Source organism: Homo sapiens, chromosome 7, assembly GCF_000001405.40.
Source record: "Homo sapiens chromosome 7, GRCh38.p14 Primary Assembly".
In the NCBI taxonomy this organism is placed as follows: domain Eukaryota; kingdom Metazoa; phylum Chordata; class Mammalia; order Primates; family Hominidae; genus Homo; species Homo sapiens.
Window position 1 is genome coordinate 147,121,785 of NC_000007.14, and position 17,678 is coordinate 147,139,462.

The 17,678-nt window shown below is 34.2% G+C and overlaps 1 protein-coding gene across 2 annotated transcripts in view; it reads left to right on the forward strand.

Annotated features, from left to right (window-relative positions):
- The window catches only part of CNTNAP2 (contactin associated protein 2), a 2,304,198-nt gene that overhangs the window by 1,004,984 nt on the left and 1,281,536 nt on the right, over positions 1–17,678 (forward strand). For both annotated transcript variants that reach the window (NM_014141.6, XM_017011950.3), the window contains exons 7-8: positions 6,909–7,052; positions 10,461–10,725. In NM_014141.6, the coding sequence (NP_054860.1) occupies positions 6,909–7,052; positions 10,461–10,725 (409 nt within the window). The remainder of the gene's footprint in view (positions 1–6,908; positions 7,053–10,460; positions 10,726–17,678) is intronic.

Here is a 17,678-nt window from a genome sequence, read left to right on the forward strand (position 1 = left end):
GTTAAAAGTAGGTATATCATATTTTTAAATTATTTGGAGAGCAATTCAACCTTAAAATATCCATTAAAACTGTTAATCATATACGTAGGTGAGCTCTTTAAGATGTTTGTCAGCCGGGCGTGGTGGCGCATGCCTGTAATCTCAGCACTTTGGGAGGCTGACGCGGGCGGATCACAGGGTCAGGAGTTCAAGACCAGCCGGACAAACATGGTGAAACTCCGTCTCTGCTAAAAATACAAAAATTAGCTGGTTGTGGTGGCACGTGCCTGTAATCCCAGCTACTCAGGAGGCTGAGGCAGGAGAATCGCTTGAACCCAGGAGGTGGAGGTGGCAGTGAGCTGAGATTGTGCCCCTGCACTCCAGCCTGGGCAACAGAGCAAAACTGCCTCAAAAAAAACAACAACGAAAAAAAGATGTTTGTCACAGTATTATACATCCTAGGAGAAAAGGATAACACTATACATACAAAAGCAGCAGAACGGTAAGATAAAAGGGACACAATGCTATTACTTAGCCAGAAGTTTCCGAACTTTCTTAGTTCATGGAGCCCTTAGTGTCTTCGAACTTTTTCCACAGCAGTCCTGAGCCGTTAGGTCCAAACAACCTAAAAATTTACGTCCTAAGACTTTGGTAGCCATTTAGAGAAATAAACACAAAATAAAAGTGAAAGTAGATTTTTATTTCATTCTTAAACAACAGCAATTATTACTAATGGGATGAGTGCTATTGCACTGTACGACTGGCAGAAATGGGGATCAGATTTGCCAATGGCATTCTAATTTTCTGTTCCACTTTTACTCTACATGATACTCTGTCTTAATCAGAGTAATGAGAGTAATGACCAAATCCAAAATTCACAAAGACAGCACATCATTAAAAGGAATGACACATTATCTAATACTGGAACAGTAAACTACCTTAAGCTAGAGTTTCACACAATGTCCAAAAGGTGTCAAATATTGTTGTGTTTTCTTTAAAAATTTCAAACATGCTATGGCACCCCTATTAGTTTTCTGCACCACCTTCATGTTCCTTGGCACCCAGTTCTGAAATTGGAGATGTATTCATATATATATGTGTGTGTTATGTATATTTATGTATAATTTTATAAGAATATGGAATATGCTCATCATAAAATAAATGGAAAAAACAGGATTAATAGCTGTGTTTTCTATTATCTTTATGTTTAAATAGTTTCTAGTTTTTTGCAATATGAATATACGATATATATTCTTAAATAAAAAATTTAGAGTAGAATATGCTATATAAACACTGATGGAGACTTTATTAACATTAAATGAATTTAAGATTATTGGAAAGTATTTTATCCCTCCCCCTAAAAAAAACTCTTAAAAGCAAACTGATTGTTAAAAGAAAATGTATGTGAACATCCCAGAAATTTCTATCTTCTCTAAATTAGTATGTGTCTTGGCTCATGTGACTTATCTCCCAATGTATGAGAGATCTTAAAGATGAATTATTCATCCTCTGTTAATAAACTTTGAAGTACCATAGAAGAGGTGAAAATTCTGGAACATTAAGAATGAAGAAATATAATTCTAATTTTCAAAAAACCAAATTAAAAATTTGGGGTCATAAACCCTGTTGAGTGTGTGACGAAGTCTATGACTATTCACGCACACACAACACTTGCTATATCGGATCAGCAGTTTCATGGACACTTTGAAGCCCATCTATATACAATGTCGTGTTTGAGAACTGCAGGTATAGACTAAAATACCTGGAACTTATTTATTAGACAGAAACAGTAGGAAGAAATTTAAATTAACTGACAAAGAATCAGGGTAGACTTACCATTTCTGGCTACTGCCAGATTATGGTCCTCTTAGAGACTGCAATTATTGGCATGAAATGTAATAAAAGTGGCTGTGCTTACCTTTATATTGCTACACTTTTCTCTTAATGGAAAGGGACTCCCTTTGCTTATTTGTTTAGAAAAAACCTCAGGGACTGGGCCAGGCATGGTGGCTCACGCCTGTAATCCTAGCACTTTGGGAGGCCAAGGCGGGTGGTTCACCTGTGCTCAGGAGTTTAAGACCAGCCTGGCCAATGTGGTGAAACCCCCGTCTCCACTAAAAATACAAAAATTAGCCAGGCATGGTGGCAGGCATCTGTAATCCCAGCTACTTGGGAGGCTGAGGCAGGAGAATCACTTGAACTCAGGAGGCAGAGGTTTCAGTGAGCCAAAATCATGCCATTGCACTCCAGCTTGGGCAAAAAGAGTGAAATTCCATCTCAAAAACAAAACAAAAAACAAACAAACACCTCACGGACTGTATTAGAGTCAGTCTCTAGTTTTGTTGTACTTATCTCCTTGATATATCCACACACTAACTATACTCAAACCTCACAGACTGCATGAAAATTAGCTTCAAACCTAAAATAATACAAATTATACAACATTCATTCCTGAACTATTTAAAGGCTTTGGCCTAAAGGAAGAGAAAGCTCGTCTTGTTATCTTCACAAAACCTGAAGATGCAATGTCCTGCTTCCCCAAGATTATACTGCCTCAATCAATTCTTCCAGAGTACACTAAGGACAAAGGCATTGAGGCCCAAAGGTGGAGGTATGCTGGTAAATGCTTAACAACCAGCTCTCTCCAGGGAGGAATGGTCAGGAATGCCCTGATATATAGCATTTGTTAATTTTCATGGTGCGAATTTCCCACCATGGTTGATTTCATGCTACCATATATGGAACTGAGCAGGGAGTTGCAAAGAGGTGCCTAATAGCACTATATGACGGTATTTCCATCATATAGTTGCAATAAATATAAATGACCTCAAGAACATATACGAAAGTAAAGTGTAGAGATAAATTCTGAATAGGTATGAATTTTGTGTTTCATGTAATTTACTTAATTTATAGCTTATGTAGTGGAAGTTTTAATAATAGCTCTGCTTAGCAGTCGGTTCTTGTGAACCAGTATGAGTGGGATTCAGCACAGCACTGCTAGCGTAAATTAAATATACTTACCACAATTTCTGGAGATGAACATCATGAAAGAAGTGATGGAATACAAGTTCACTCCTTTGATGTAACTCTATGTGGACATTTCCTTTTTTTCCTTTTTTTTTTTTTTTTTTTTTTTGAGATGAAGTCTTGCTCTATCACTAGGCTGGAGTGCAGTGGCGCGATTTTGGCTCACTGCAACCTCCGCCTCCCGGGTTCAAGTGATTCTCCTGGCTCAGCCTCCTGAGTAGCTGGGACTACAGGCACCTGCCACTATGCCCGGCTATTTTTTTGTATTTTTAGTAGAGATGGGGTTTCACTGTGTTAGCCAGGATGGTCTCGATCTCCTGACCTCATGATCCACCCACCTCGGCCTCCCAAAGTGCTGGGATTACAGGTGTAAGCCACCCCACCCAGCCCTAATTTTTGTATTTTTAGTATAGATGGGGTTTCACCATGTCGACCAGGATGGTCTCGATCTCTTGGCCTCGTGATCTGCCCGCCTCAGCCTCCCAAAATGCTGGGATTACAGACATAAGTCACCGCTCCCGGCATATATGGACATTTTTTGTGACCTAGTCCTAAGAGTTTGTCTCATCCCCTCCTCTTGTAGCTGCCTACACTGCAAAGTGGGCCAATCACCACCTGCAATGAGGCTGCTAGCTACAGGGTGGCTTGAGACTGTGTGGTGATATATACGTGCACTTCACTTCATTTTTCCTCAGCGTAGTCAATAAAAACCAAAGGGGAGAGCAGCAAAATGGTGTTTGGCTTAGATTCTCTCTGTTCTTCAGAGGACACCCACTGTGGATATTATGCTGTTGTCTTTTGCAATACAGCTCTGCTAGGGAAGTAGAGGAATGACTCTCTTGACCATTGCAGAACCACAGACTGCCTAGGAAGAAAATCAGTCACAGGAGGAGAAGCCCGAGTTTGAACCTGTTTCTGCCCTTTAATGGTTGTGTGACAGTGGACAATTCATATTCCCCTTTGATGAAATGAATCTAATCGCATTCTTTCCATAGGGTTTATGAGGAGGCAACAGGAAGTAATAGAAAAAAATGTGTGTGAGTTAAGATTACATAGGCTACATTTAATGGATGCACGTTTATTCTCCTTTATGTAAAAGAAGACTGGAGGCAAATGGCTGCTCCACGATCTTCAAGATCACAGTCCTTTTTAATCTTGCTCTTCCTCTATCCCTGTTGCAAATCACTCAAAGACGGCTGCTAACATTTCACTTTGCACTTCAGCTAGCAAGAAGGAAGAGAGAGTAAACAAGACTGTGTCCTCCCCCTCTTAATGACAGTTCTTAGAATCGCATACAGCCCTTCCACTTAAATATCATGAGACCAAAACTGGCTTCAAAGAAGTTGATAATTTATTATATTGACTGGGGAGCAATGTGCCCAGCTGAAAAGCATTATTTTTTTTCCCTAATGAGGGTAGGAAGAAAGGATATGTAGAGGTATCCAATAGTCCCTGCGACATTTTGTGTACACTTGAAAGCTAACAAAATCGTTACTGCAGTTATTTCTTTAGAGGCAAGGTTATTGGATGGCAAGGTCATTAATAAATGTATCATATGAGCCACAGGAATAATTGAATATTAATCGGACAACTGCAACAATATTTGTTACTATCAGCTTCGTTAAAGTGTCAGAAAATATTCTGTGGTCCAACCAGTTTATTTTACCAATGAGAATTTTATTTTATTATTATTAATATTTGAGACGGACTCTTTCTCTGTATGCCCAGGCTGGAGTGCAATGGCAAGATCTCAGCTCACCGCAATCTCCGCCTCCTGGGTTCAAGTTATTCTCCTGTTTCAGCCTCCCAAATAGCTGGGATTACAGGCATGCACCACCACGCCCAGCTAATTTTGTATTTTTAGTAGAGATGGGGTTTCTCCATGTTGATCAGGCTGGTCTCGAACTCCTGATCTCAGGTGATCCACCCGCCTTGGCCTCCCAAAGTGCTGGGATTACAGGTGTGAGCCACCATGCCTGGCCCACCAATGAGAATTTATAACTAGAAAGAATAAATGACAACCTAATATCCTATAATTAGTTACCTTAGGAATTGGGGTCAGAATTCACTAAATTGTTCGGATCTGTTAACTTGAGCCTGCATTGCTTTTCCAGAGCACCTTGATGAGGTGGACTTGTGCCTAGAGTTGCTGAAAACAGGGAAACTGTAAGGATAATTTGAATCCCCTGCAGAAAGTGAAAGGTCCGAATTAAAGAAATATGCACACAGAGGAATATGTATTTAATAATATTAAACATTGACGGTATTATTACTGTCAGTTGGGGAAAAATTGTTCAAAAAGATTGTAAACAGGAGACGTAGTACTCCATTTTAGTATCAAAAATGATTGCCTTTGGTACTAGGCACACTTAGGTAGTACCTAATATGTTCATTTCAGTGCAACTTGAAAACATTTTCCCAATAATTCTACTTTAGATTACTATTTCTTCTTTGTAGTTTTCTGATTCTTTGGGATATATTTTTCCTCAATTTTCCTTTTACCTTCTTATATATGAACTGTGTGGCAAATAATACATATTCAGCTAACCATTATTAATAATAATTGATTTTATTGTAAATGAGGCCTTTGTTTTTTTTTTTACCATCACCTCATAAACCACAATTTGTGTTTCCCCCCCTAAAAGTACTTAAGCATTTAAGATGCCATAACACTAAATCATAGAACATAATTTGTTCATGGACCTTCCAGAACACAGAATATTTGACTTATGCTTCAAATATGAAGTCGTGATTTTTAAAAATGTCTTCACTGTTGCTTTCATTTCACCCCATCAAACATGCTCTGGAAAAGCACCACAGGCTCAAGTTAACAGATTCCTAACCATTTAGTGAGTTCTAACCCCAATCCCTAATGTAACTAATGATAGGATATTAGGCTGTCATTGATTCTTTATAGTTATATATTCTCATTGAAAATAAAGTGGTTGGACCACAGAGCATTTTCTGACATTTTAATGAAGCTGATAGTAAAAAAAATAGATAATGGTAATATTGTATGATAATTTAAAAGATATATATTACAAGTATTGTATATCTTGATATTATAATTAGCGGTTGGCTTCATTTACTACTAATTCACTATTCATAGTAAATATCATCCTTGACCATGCAAATACTAAATGCAATTTTGTATCATATAAATTTAATGCTATAGTGTATATTGATCAAAAATGTATAAGAAATGGATATTTTCTTTCTATAAGCGATAGCAGCCAGAGAAACACAGTAAGTAGCATTGTCTTATTTCTTAAGATTTAAAAGACCTATAATATCTTTAAGCCTACACAGCTCAACTTTGAGTTCCCAAATCCTAAGTGGTCCCTAATCAATATTGTAATGATATTTTTTGAACTATTTTCTACATCCAAAATAAATCTAATGAATTTTTGACAATAATGGTCATTAGACTACAAGTCTGCATAGGGTAAATACGATATCCCTTGCTTTGGGCTGCAGTTTTATCAGCTTATTAAATTAGTGCTGATTATCTCATGCTTACTGGAGGCATTTATTGATAGTATGTCTTTGAATGATAAACATAAAAATATATTTCTAATATTATTTGATACAAGAAGTTTGCTGAATAAAAATCTTTTAAAATATTCTCAAGAAAATTTATAAAATGCCTTTGGGGCAGTAAAATTGCAAAGGATCATTGCTTTTTTTTGTTCAAGTTATAATCTAATTATCAGAATGAATGACTCCATTAGACACTTCAACAACAACATAATTTAATATGCCATAGATTTTGGAGGCAGAATGCTATAATATTTGTATATTTTGGTTGAGGTATAGATACTTGACCTTCACTGTATTCATAGTTTTGTCTAGTTCATCATAATACAATGTGGACGTTTACATTTAATTTCTTTTTCTCAAAGATAACCTTTGGAGGCATCCCTTTCTCTGGCAAGCCCAGCTCCAGCAGTAGAAAGAATTTCAAAGGCTGCATGGAAAGCATCAACTACAATGGCGTCAACATTACTGATCTTGCCAGAAGGAAGAAATTAGAGCCCTCAAATGTGGTAAGGATTTTCACCCGCAAAATATTGGTCTATAAAATATCAAGTAACATTTTTGTTTTTTGGATTATTGAACAACAACAAAATCATGACATTTTTCATCATATTTGTGTTTGGGCAAAATGATGTAAAACAAACATTAGAGTTATCAGAATTAGTATAGATACTTGCTATTCTTTGAGAATAGCTAATGGGACTAGCTTGAAGTAGGTGGTTGGTTTTATTCCCACGGAGCACAGAATGTTAGACTCAATATTTCTGGATGACTCGTGGCACGTGCTTCATCCCAGCAGTTAGCAGCCCTTAAACCGGCAGCATCGTGTTTTCAAATATCTCATCACATGTGCTCTAAGTTACTTGCTTATGGTTTAATTTAATATTTTTAAAGTTTTTAAATCAGGGACTTTATTATATTTACTCCTGTGCTTCCAAAGATGATTTGTTTGAATATGTAAATAAATACACTTTTTAGCAAATCTCTAACCAGACTAAATATTACACAGTTAAATAAAGCTTGATTTCCACTGCATAGCCAAAGCTGTGCCACAGAAGTTCACAGTGATTTTTTTCTGCCTTTTGTGTGAGTTGGTGCCAGGTTTCATTAGATTTTGGAAGGAGAGCAAAAGTCAAAGAAAGCCCCAGCACACATGCTTCCAAACGACACTACTCCACATCCCTAAAAGACACTTAGTTTGCAATTTTAGTATGAGAGTTCCCTATGGCTCTGCAAGACCAGGAGCTGCTTTAGCCCAGAGAGGCTATTTGGGAGAGCTTAGAATTCCAGAGACCCATACAATAAGAAGATATTATGCACTATAAGTACAATAATGTCATGAGTGTTTGCACTGTGCTCCAAAAGAGCTCTGATGGTCTCGTTGCCTCAAATTTGAGCCCAGGGTTTCATAAAATGATTTGACAAATGGAAATCCCTGAATGAATAAACAGTTCAGGTTGAATATGGAAGGTTTAAAACAATAACTTCATGCAAATGATTATTTAATAAATAATTTTCTTAAAGTAATCATAAATTTATACTAGAAATTAAAACTTGAACTTTGGTTAAATTTTCTCATAAAGTATATTGACTATGGAAAAATAATAATAGCTCCATTTATAGGCAACAGGTATTGTGCTAGGCAAGTCGTATTTTATATTTAGGATGATCTGAGAACAATACTGCAAGAAGGATACAAACATTTTGTAGATGAAAACATTGCGATTTAACATGGAAAAAATAAGTTATTTTATGAGAAAAATAACTTTTATTTTATGAGTAGGAGATAAAAAGATAGATGTATAGCCTGGTATAGTGGGTTGCTGCTGTAATCCCAACACTGTGGGAGGCCAAGGCAGGAGGATCACTTGAGTCCAGGAGTTTGAGACCAGCCTGGGCAACATAGTGAGACCATGTCTCTACAACAAGTTAAGAAAATTAAAATTAAAAAAATAAATCAAATTGAATTAAAAAATTAGCTGGGCATAATGGTGCATGCATGTAGTCCTAGCTGCTTGAGAGGCTGAGGTAGGAGGATCACTTGAGCCCACAAGTTTGAGGCTGCAGTGAGCCATGATTGAACTACTGCATTCCAGCCTGGGCAACAGACTGAGACTCTGTCCCCCCAAAAATAAAAGAATAAAAAAAGATTATGGATTCACAATATGTGAGTTTGATTATGCTCTATAATTACATTTTATTTTAACAAATAATTGCAGTGAGAAAACATAGAATAAACTTTTGAATCAAAATATACATACATACAGAAAATCTTAGATGGGATAGAGACAAATAGGACATTTTGCAAGCAACCCTGCAAAGACAAGTGTTTATATAAGAAATGTACTTTCAAAGATGTTGGGTGCTGGTATTTCAGTGAAATTGACTGAGCACTCATTCTACCTCCTCTTCCCCCACATACTCATTCCCTCATTATGCATTGACTCCAAAGTCAGCACCGTTACTCTGGAAGGATCTTTAATTTTGCTAGGGAGACAATCCCCTCAAAAGAGGTATGTGGTCAGTTATAAAATCTCAATTATTATGCATAGGCAGTTCTTTTTATCAGTAAAAGCGAGCATTTAAAAATAATCATCTGTGATGGTACAGAGCAAATTTAATTTGAATATTAATTCAGAGAGACTGCCTGCCTTAGATTTAATGGTTATTGTGCTAAAATGGAAGAAATCAGCATCAGGTATATATATATATACACATATATATATGTGTATATATATGTGTGTATATATATGTATATATGTGTATATATACACACACATATATATACCATATACATATATATACCATATACATATACATGTACCATATACATATATATGTACCATATACATATACATATACCATACACATGTATACCATATACATATACATATACCATACACATGTATACCATATACATATACCATATACATATATATGGTGTTGTTAAAAATATATAGAGAAAAAGAGAGACAGACATAGAGATAGAACCAATGAAAATATCATCCAATTACATTCCTTAAAATATTATGATAGGATAAAAGAAGTTAGAAGCAAATACAGATTTTTAGACCTGTAAAGAGAATGTAGTTAGGCACTGAAATATACAATTTAGTGTATCTGAATGATAAATATTTTTTTCTTTTTTTTCTTTTGCTTATACCAAGGAGGAGGAGTATAGAAGGGGAGGGGAAAGCCTGAATTATTGCAAATTTTATCTCCATTTAGCCCATTTATAGTGCTAGTTATACAGGAATTAATGCATTGTGATATAAGCACAATTCATGGGAATTTAAATGGGATTTTGAGTTGGATACTAAAATAATCTCCAACAACCACAATTACATTAATGCTGAAAACTTAATATCTATCTATCTATATATGCATATACAAGGTATATAGATAAAAATCCAAATATATTTCCCTAAAATATCAGTTTCATAAATTGCAAACATATGACCATAGTCCCCACTGAGACCAGAGTAATATGTTAATTAATGTTGGCATTGACCACCCAGAATAGGACAGAGCATCTCTCTCCCTGACTTATGTTCGGCCAGCAGTAGCTTTGCTGTCTTCAGAAAGTCTAGTGATCCACAGTCACACCCACAACACACATACACACTTTACAACTCATGGTCAGCCTATCACATCAGGCTGTCTGGCTGTCAATCCCATGGTGGAAGCTGCTTGTTATAGTTAGACAGCCAACTGCTGCTCAGTAGTAGGTCTTACACTCCAAGTAGATCCGTAGTGGTGCATCCAGTCACTGAATCCATGCTCTGCTGCTGTGTGTGAGTTTAGCTTAGGCTCAGGCTGTGCTTCAAAACTTGTAGAACTATACTTTCATCAGTGGTCTGACATGGATGTTCATTTTATTCTGTGTTTTCCTCAGAGCCTGTCTTTCTATTTTACAGGGAAATTTGAGCTTTTCTTGTGTGGAACCCTATACGGTGCCTGTCTTTTTCAACGCTACAAGTTACCTGGAGGTGCCCGGACGGCTTAACCAGGACCTGTTCTCAGTCAGTTTCCAGTTTAGGACATGGAACCCCAATGGTCTCCTGGTCTTCAGTCACTTTGCGGATAATTTGGGCAATGTGGAGATTGACCTCACTGAAAGCAAAGTGGGTGTTCACATCAACATCACACAGACCAAGATGAGCCAAATCGATATTTCCTCAGGTCAGTGAAACCTATTTGACATTTGTTCCTGAAACTTATTGCAATTTCCAGAGTTAATGTTGTGCTTTGTTTGGTTTTGCTGGTGTTACACGCTCAGGATTAGGTTTTAATTCAGATCTTCAAGACGCTTACTTGGTTGTAGTGTGTGCTGATTGAATAAAGAAAACTTGGAAAGTTGTTGAGAGAGCAAGGCATGGGTGAAGGAGAAAATTGGTTGAGATTGGAAAAGCAAAATCTATTCCTTACCAATGCTAGTTTATTTTTAATAGATAAATTGCTCTTCTTTTAAGTGAATAATTTATGTTTAAAAACAAGGAATGTTTATTTTAAAAACACAATTGTATCTGGTATCTTTTCTCTTTATCAACATTCGTGTACCTTTTACTATTAGTAACAAGATTATACTAATTTTAACTTTAAGGAATATTCCACTGCTGGAATCAGAACTTCAAAATGATCTTGCTAAAATTATGCAAATGGTTGGAAAAGAAAACGAAAGTGAATATAAAGGTGGAATGACAAGATTTGTGTATCAACTGACGGAAGACTGGCTTAGGCAAAAATAGGATAATTTTAAATTTGGCTTTGTAGTGATATGACAAATAGAGGCTTAGGTAATATTCTTGTTATTTGAATAGACTTCGCAACCTTGGAAGTTCTTTGATAAATACAGTACAAAGAAAGGTGACATTGTAAATTGTGATGTTATAAGCAAAGAAAAATTAGTCTCAATATTGGACTGATAAATAGTAACTGTTTTCATCTATTTTTCTTGAGATAGTCTTTGCAATAGTCATACATATATATTGTGAAGAACTACTTAGAAATGGGAGATACAAAGAAAACTAACATTTACTGAACACTTAGTACAGATGTAGCAGATACTGAAAGGAGTCATGACAGAGAGCTCAATTGGGTGACCATGGACTCTGATTTCTGAATATGCCATATACTCTCATGGCACCCTATGCATATACCTGACACGGTTTCTAACACACTATGATTTTTGTCCCTCTCTTTTCCCCTCTAGGCTCCATGCTCCTTGACAGCAGGGACCATGCTCCTTTTTCTTCTGTCTCTGGCATATAGAATAGTACCTGTAAGAGGTGCTCTCCAATATTTGTTGAATTCAATACTCTGACCCCTTTCAACTAACAGAATATCCCCTGCTATAGAACATATATATTTTCTTGTAAAATAGGCTTTATGTTTGTGTGTGGCCTGAATGTATGGTCTATTACTGAAAAGGATTCAAGGAAGCCACAAGAAATGTTATGTCAGAGATGTGCCTAAATTATTGAAATCAAAGGTATTGGGAAATACCTAGTTATTCACTTTCTCCATTTCTGCTTTATTAGTTTTGCTTTTTCCTTGAATGTCTAGTCAAAATGATTAATCAACCATATTTTATCACTACATTCGTTTATAAGTATACCTAGGGAGGTTTACAGCAAATCGAAAATATCTGGAGAGACCAGAAAAACAGATAAAACAAAAACAAAAGCAAATGTTTGCCACAGTTGAAAAACTCCCACATTATATTGTTATGATTAATGATTATTGCCTAATGACTAAACATAAAAATATTAGTATGAAGGCCTGTCTCCTTGCAGTCTCTGAGCAAATCCGATTTGCTGGTGGGTTTCCATGTAACAGGAGCCAATATATTTGAAAGGATAAGATATTAACCCTAGTGGTCAATAAACATGTATTAATTTGATTTGGTGTAATTTAGTACTCCAAGATACTCTCACCTAATTTAAGCTGTGTTTATTTTGAAAATTAAAGATAGAATGAACAAAGAAATCCAATACATGACAGTTAATTCACCTTAATAGATTTGCTTAAACCTAATAAAAATGGACTGAAGAGTTTTTGTCAATTTAGCCAAGAATCTGTGCAAATTAATTGAAAAGATATAAAATCTAAAGATTTCCGTAGTATTACCCTTCTATAATCCAGTGAAAATACCTTACTGCTTCAAGCATTTTATATAAATATATATATATACAGACATACATACACACATACATACATAGTGGAAACTAAGTGCTCATATTTGAGAAACATTAGTTGAAAAAAAAATTCAACCATTTAAAAAAGTTATATTTTATATTCATTCATTCAATCTAAAAGTACATATGGAAACCATAGGACATAATTTCCTCTGTCTTTTAATGTATTTTATCAAATTCAATTAAATGTGTAAATAAGTTAGTAAAGTGGCAACACTGAGAAAACAGTTAAGTCAGGATTCTAATGTTTGCTTTAACAAAGGGAAATATATCTGTATCACAGCTATTCTACTCTTATCAGCATGAGCATTGAAGAATGTCAGTCCACTTCTCCTTTTGTCAAATATTTTGATTGAAAGAATTTAGAAAATGCAGAAAATCTAGAAAAGAAAAATAACCAGTGATAAAATTTTGGTGTACACACACAAAGTAGTGCACTGAGAAGGTAATATAGAGACTCTCAGATACTGTTAATATATACTGGTAACTTAGTTTTTATTTAATAAATTCCATGGTCCAGGATGAATGTAACCCAATTAGATCAAAAACCTTTTTTTCCATCTTGGTCAACACTGTTCTTTGGGAATTAATTTAAAATATTAAATACATCTTACAAGTAAAATAATGTTTAATATATTGTTCACCCTATCTTTGTATCTTTCTTTCCAAGTTGTGATTACTGTCTTCAAGAGTCTCATTAGTAATCAACAGTAGACTTGACTTATGAAATTCAGTCAAACTCAGTAGCCTTGAATTTACAGAGTGGATTATCTTACCATGAAAATATTGAACAAGTTGCAACATCAACGTTTTCTGATGGATAGCCAAAAACAAACAAACAAACAACAACAACAAAAAACCCTACTTACTTTTTGAAATAAGTTTTTATTTCAAAGTGACTCAATTTTATCCCAGTACATCATTTTTTAGGACAGAAGTTACTGATTTATGAATACATATTTAGGCATTACTTTTAACTAGGCATAAATGATAATATTAAACAGGTGCAAAAAGGGTCTAATGAATAATAGCTGTTCATTCTGGGCATAATTTTCATTTTAACTTTAAAATTCAAAACTCTGGGGAAGGTGGACCTAGAACCATGTTTTTCAAATAATTTTGATCAAAGTACAGTAAGAAAATATTTTATGTCATACCCAAAACCTACTGACACAAAGTTTGATGAAATAAAACTTGCCTTGCTATTTTAGATGCACTATGATAAGTGTGATATTTTCTTTTCTTTTGCTTTATTCTTAAAAAAAAAAAAAGCCATAACCCACTATAATAATTTCATGTCCTAAATACAGTTTGGAAAACACCGACCTGACCTGCATTCTTTTTCTTATTTGAAGTGTTGGAATTTTTAAAAGTTTTAGTTGCCTGGAAGTATTAACTCCATCACTCTATATTGGAAAACTAAATTTGTCTTATGGGAACAGTATTATAATATTATAATGGTAGTAAAAAAGCATTAATGTACATTACTATTTGAATTATAGCAAAAAAAAAAACCTACCTTTTGAAGTAAGTTTTTATTTCAAAATGCCTCAATTTTATGCCACTAAATACAAACATATTTAGAACAATACTCAGTTGTCGTCTGCCAATATTAACAAGGTAATACAATGTGATTCAGCATTTATTATAGTGGGGAGAAAGTGATTTATCTTAATATTCTCTCTCAGTTATTGGAAAAAAATTAACTTCTCTCCATGTATAAACAAAGCCTTTCCAAAAAGTCATTCAGAATATGTCCTGTCCTAAATCAGCTGTTTTCTTATACTCAAGTATTGGAACATCCTTGTTTTGTTAATGTAGGTATTGCTTCAATTTTCGAATGGCTGTTCAGTGTCCACACTGTCTCAGAAATATGTAATCAGAAAAGATTTTCTCATTTGTATTTTCATCTCCAAAGGAAATCTTCTGTGGACTTGTTTTATTTACTTTGCTTCTTAGTAAAATTTCCTTTGTAAATCATTGTGTTCCATTGGGTGTCTCAAGGGAGGAGTGGGAGTTTTCTTGGTTCAGTGTGTGGCTGGGAGCATGCTGGGAAATAGTTCTCAGTTCAATCTGGGCAAATGTGTTTGGGAACACTCCAGGCAGTGTCTATTCTAAGCAATTAAAATATCTCTGTTCTTGATTTTATGAACACTTGGAAATGTAGCCAGCATATTAATATTTCTTTAAAAAATTAATTTATACCGTTTTCCAAAGTTCAGTGATAACTTGCCCCATGAGACATCCTTTTCATCATATGAGAAAAAAGGTCTCATTTGAAATACAATTTTTGATGTTTTAGTTGTTTACTGAAAATTTTTTTTCAGTTCTATACTGATATTATTTCAAAATGTCTTAAATTCTTGTAACTCAAAAACTAAATGTTTCAGCATTACTACAAATACTTTAAGAGATTTGTTTTATTATGTTTTACAGCAAAATAATTGGAGACTTATTTAACAAGATATGTTCTCTAATTCAAGTTTAAACCATATTTATTAGAAGCCTTAAAAGATGTTACTTCCCTTTGATCCATTAAATTTAAGTTTTTCTGATTCTAAGAAAATAAAGAAGCACCCAGAGTTATTTATCACAACATATATACAATAACCAAAGTAATTGAAAACAAACTACTGAAAATGGACATGTGATTTTAAAGAGTGTATTTTTATGTGGAATACTATTATGTCATTATAAATCACATTTCTTATATAAAATTTAATAACATGGTAAAAAATGCTAAGAATAAAATTTTTAATAAAAACTTAAGTAGACTATGAATCTAATGTCATTATTATAAATATAGGAATTTTATTTCATTCCAAATCAGAATGAAATAATATAATACTAATGTTGATCATCTCTAATTGGTGGGTTATCAGTCCATTATATTAACTTTTTAATATATTTTCTCTAATATCTATATTTTCTCCAATAAACATCAATTGTTCTCAGAAGTCAAAAACAATATGCTACAAAACAATTGAGGATAAAATGATATTTCTGAAAAGTATGATGCTTAACAATGTTACAAATGGAAATTAAATAGCATATCAATTTAAAAATTCTAATTTCCTTACTTAGAAACATGTACAGCCAATTTCTTAAAAGTTTCACCTTAAATAATAAGCTTCAACAGAATTTCAATTGCATTTACATACAAATGGAGCATTTTATAATCAGGTGCAGAAATTTGGAGGTTGTGTCTATAATGTTTAATTATTTGAAAATATTCATAACTCATTTTGAACAAATTCCGCACCATCTATGTAATTTTAAAACTATTTTTCAACCTGGGTAAATAATTGGATAGATAAGTAGATAAATGATTGGAAAATAGATAGATACGTAGATAGATAGATAGATAGATAGATAGATAGATAGATAGATAGGTAGATAGATAAAAAGTATTGTCCCTTAAAACTATTGCTAGCTATCAGGTAACAACATATTCCTTTTTCTCAATAAAGGAATAGATTGAATAAATAAATAAATCATCACTTTATTCCCAAATAATCTACATACACCATACTTTTACAAAATAAGTGGCTAAAAAGTAATTTTTAGATTTTTGTACCTTTTGATGGGCTTGTAGATATCTAAAAATTTCCGGTAAAGGCAAATCCATCATCTTAAGATACAAAAGATAAAACATGGCTCTGTATTCTTAGGGCGAAAATGGAGCCTAAGAAATTCTGATTCATAGAGCACTGTACTCACTTTAATTAGGAGCCTAGAACTGAGCTGGAAAGGAATAGATTCTATTGTTTGGTGGATCCCAAAAGTGAGATAGATAAAGATCTGAGTACTAGATCTAAATAGACACATAGAAATAAGATACCCTTGGACATATCTAAAACATATTTTGCTGATTTTATTCCCTGAAATTCACAAATAGACTTGCTGTGAGAGCCACATGGTACCAAGTAAAAGGCATTTGAGTCAATGGTATGTTGCTCCTGGGTAGCTTCACCCAACTGACTTTTTATTATATATCAATTCCTAGTGTGGCTGTACCACTATCATGCGAACTGAGTGGAAATCTACCTTTAATTATACTGCAGTGAATGCTGGTGCACATTTTTCATCAATAGAAGCATTATAGTGCAGAATGAAAGGAAAAAAAGGACCGGGGGAGAGTTTTATGATGTTAGATATTGACTTATTCTTTAGAAAGCAAAAGGGACATTTTAATTTATAATCACACTCCAGGACACCATTTCCATTCTAGTTTCTACAATATTTTTGAGCCTTTTAAAATGTTCTATGCCTTTTTCAGGGAAGATGAATAAAACATGTTGTGTGTATGTGTGTATAATAATTTTTTAAAATTCCAAAAAGGCAATAAAGTTTTAGTAACTTTGTTGGATAAAATGGAGGCAAAAGGTGCCAATGAGAACCAGACTGTGTTTCAAAAGCTTCAGTTTACTGTACAAATAAATCGAAGAGAAAAAAAAATCAGATATCACTAGTTGATACTAAGAGAATAAAAATGAATTATGAAAGAATAGCAAAGAACATAGCCCAGGAACTCCAAAAATAATATATGCATGTAGTTGAAGATGTTTCTAAGACAAGAACAGGGAGGACATAGAAGCAAATTAACTTTGCTGAAAAGCCAGTATATTTCTCAGTTAACAGATAATATTGTATCTACTTAACATGTACAGAATGATGTCCTGAAGTACATATACAATGTGGTCCTTTACCTTTCATTTAAGTGTAAGGGCTGACACTTCATGTAAGGTTGAAACTTTTGTAGTGGATAAATGAGTAATTGGTAAATTTAAGCAATATGGATTTACATAGTAGAGATATATCTAAGTCAACTTTAGATGTTTTTGCAATTGCGTGTCTAATTTTGTTTCAAATAGTTAACAAAATAAATAGTGTTGGCATGAAACAATCAGGGATGATGTACCTTCATAATCAGAAAAA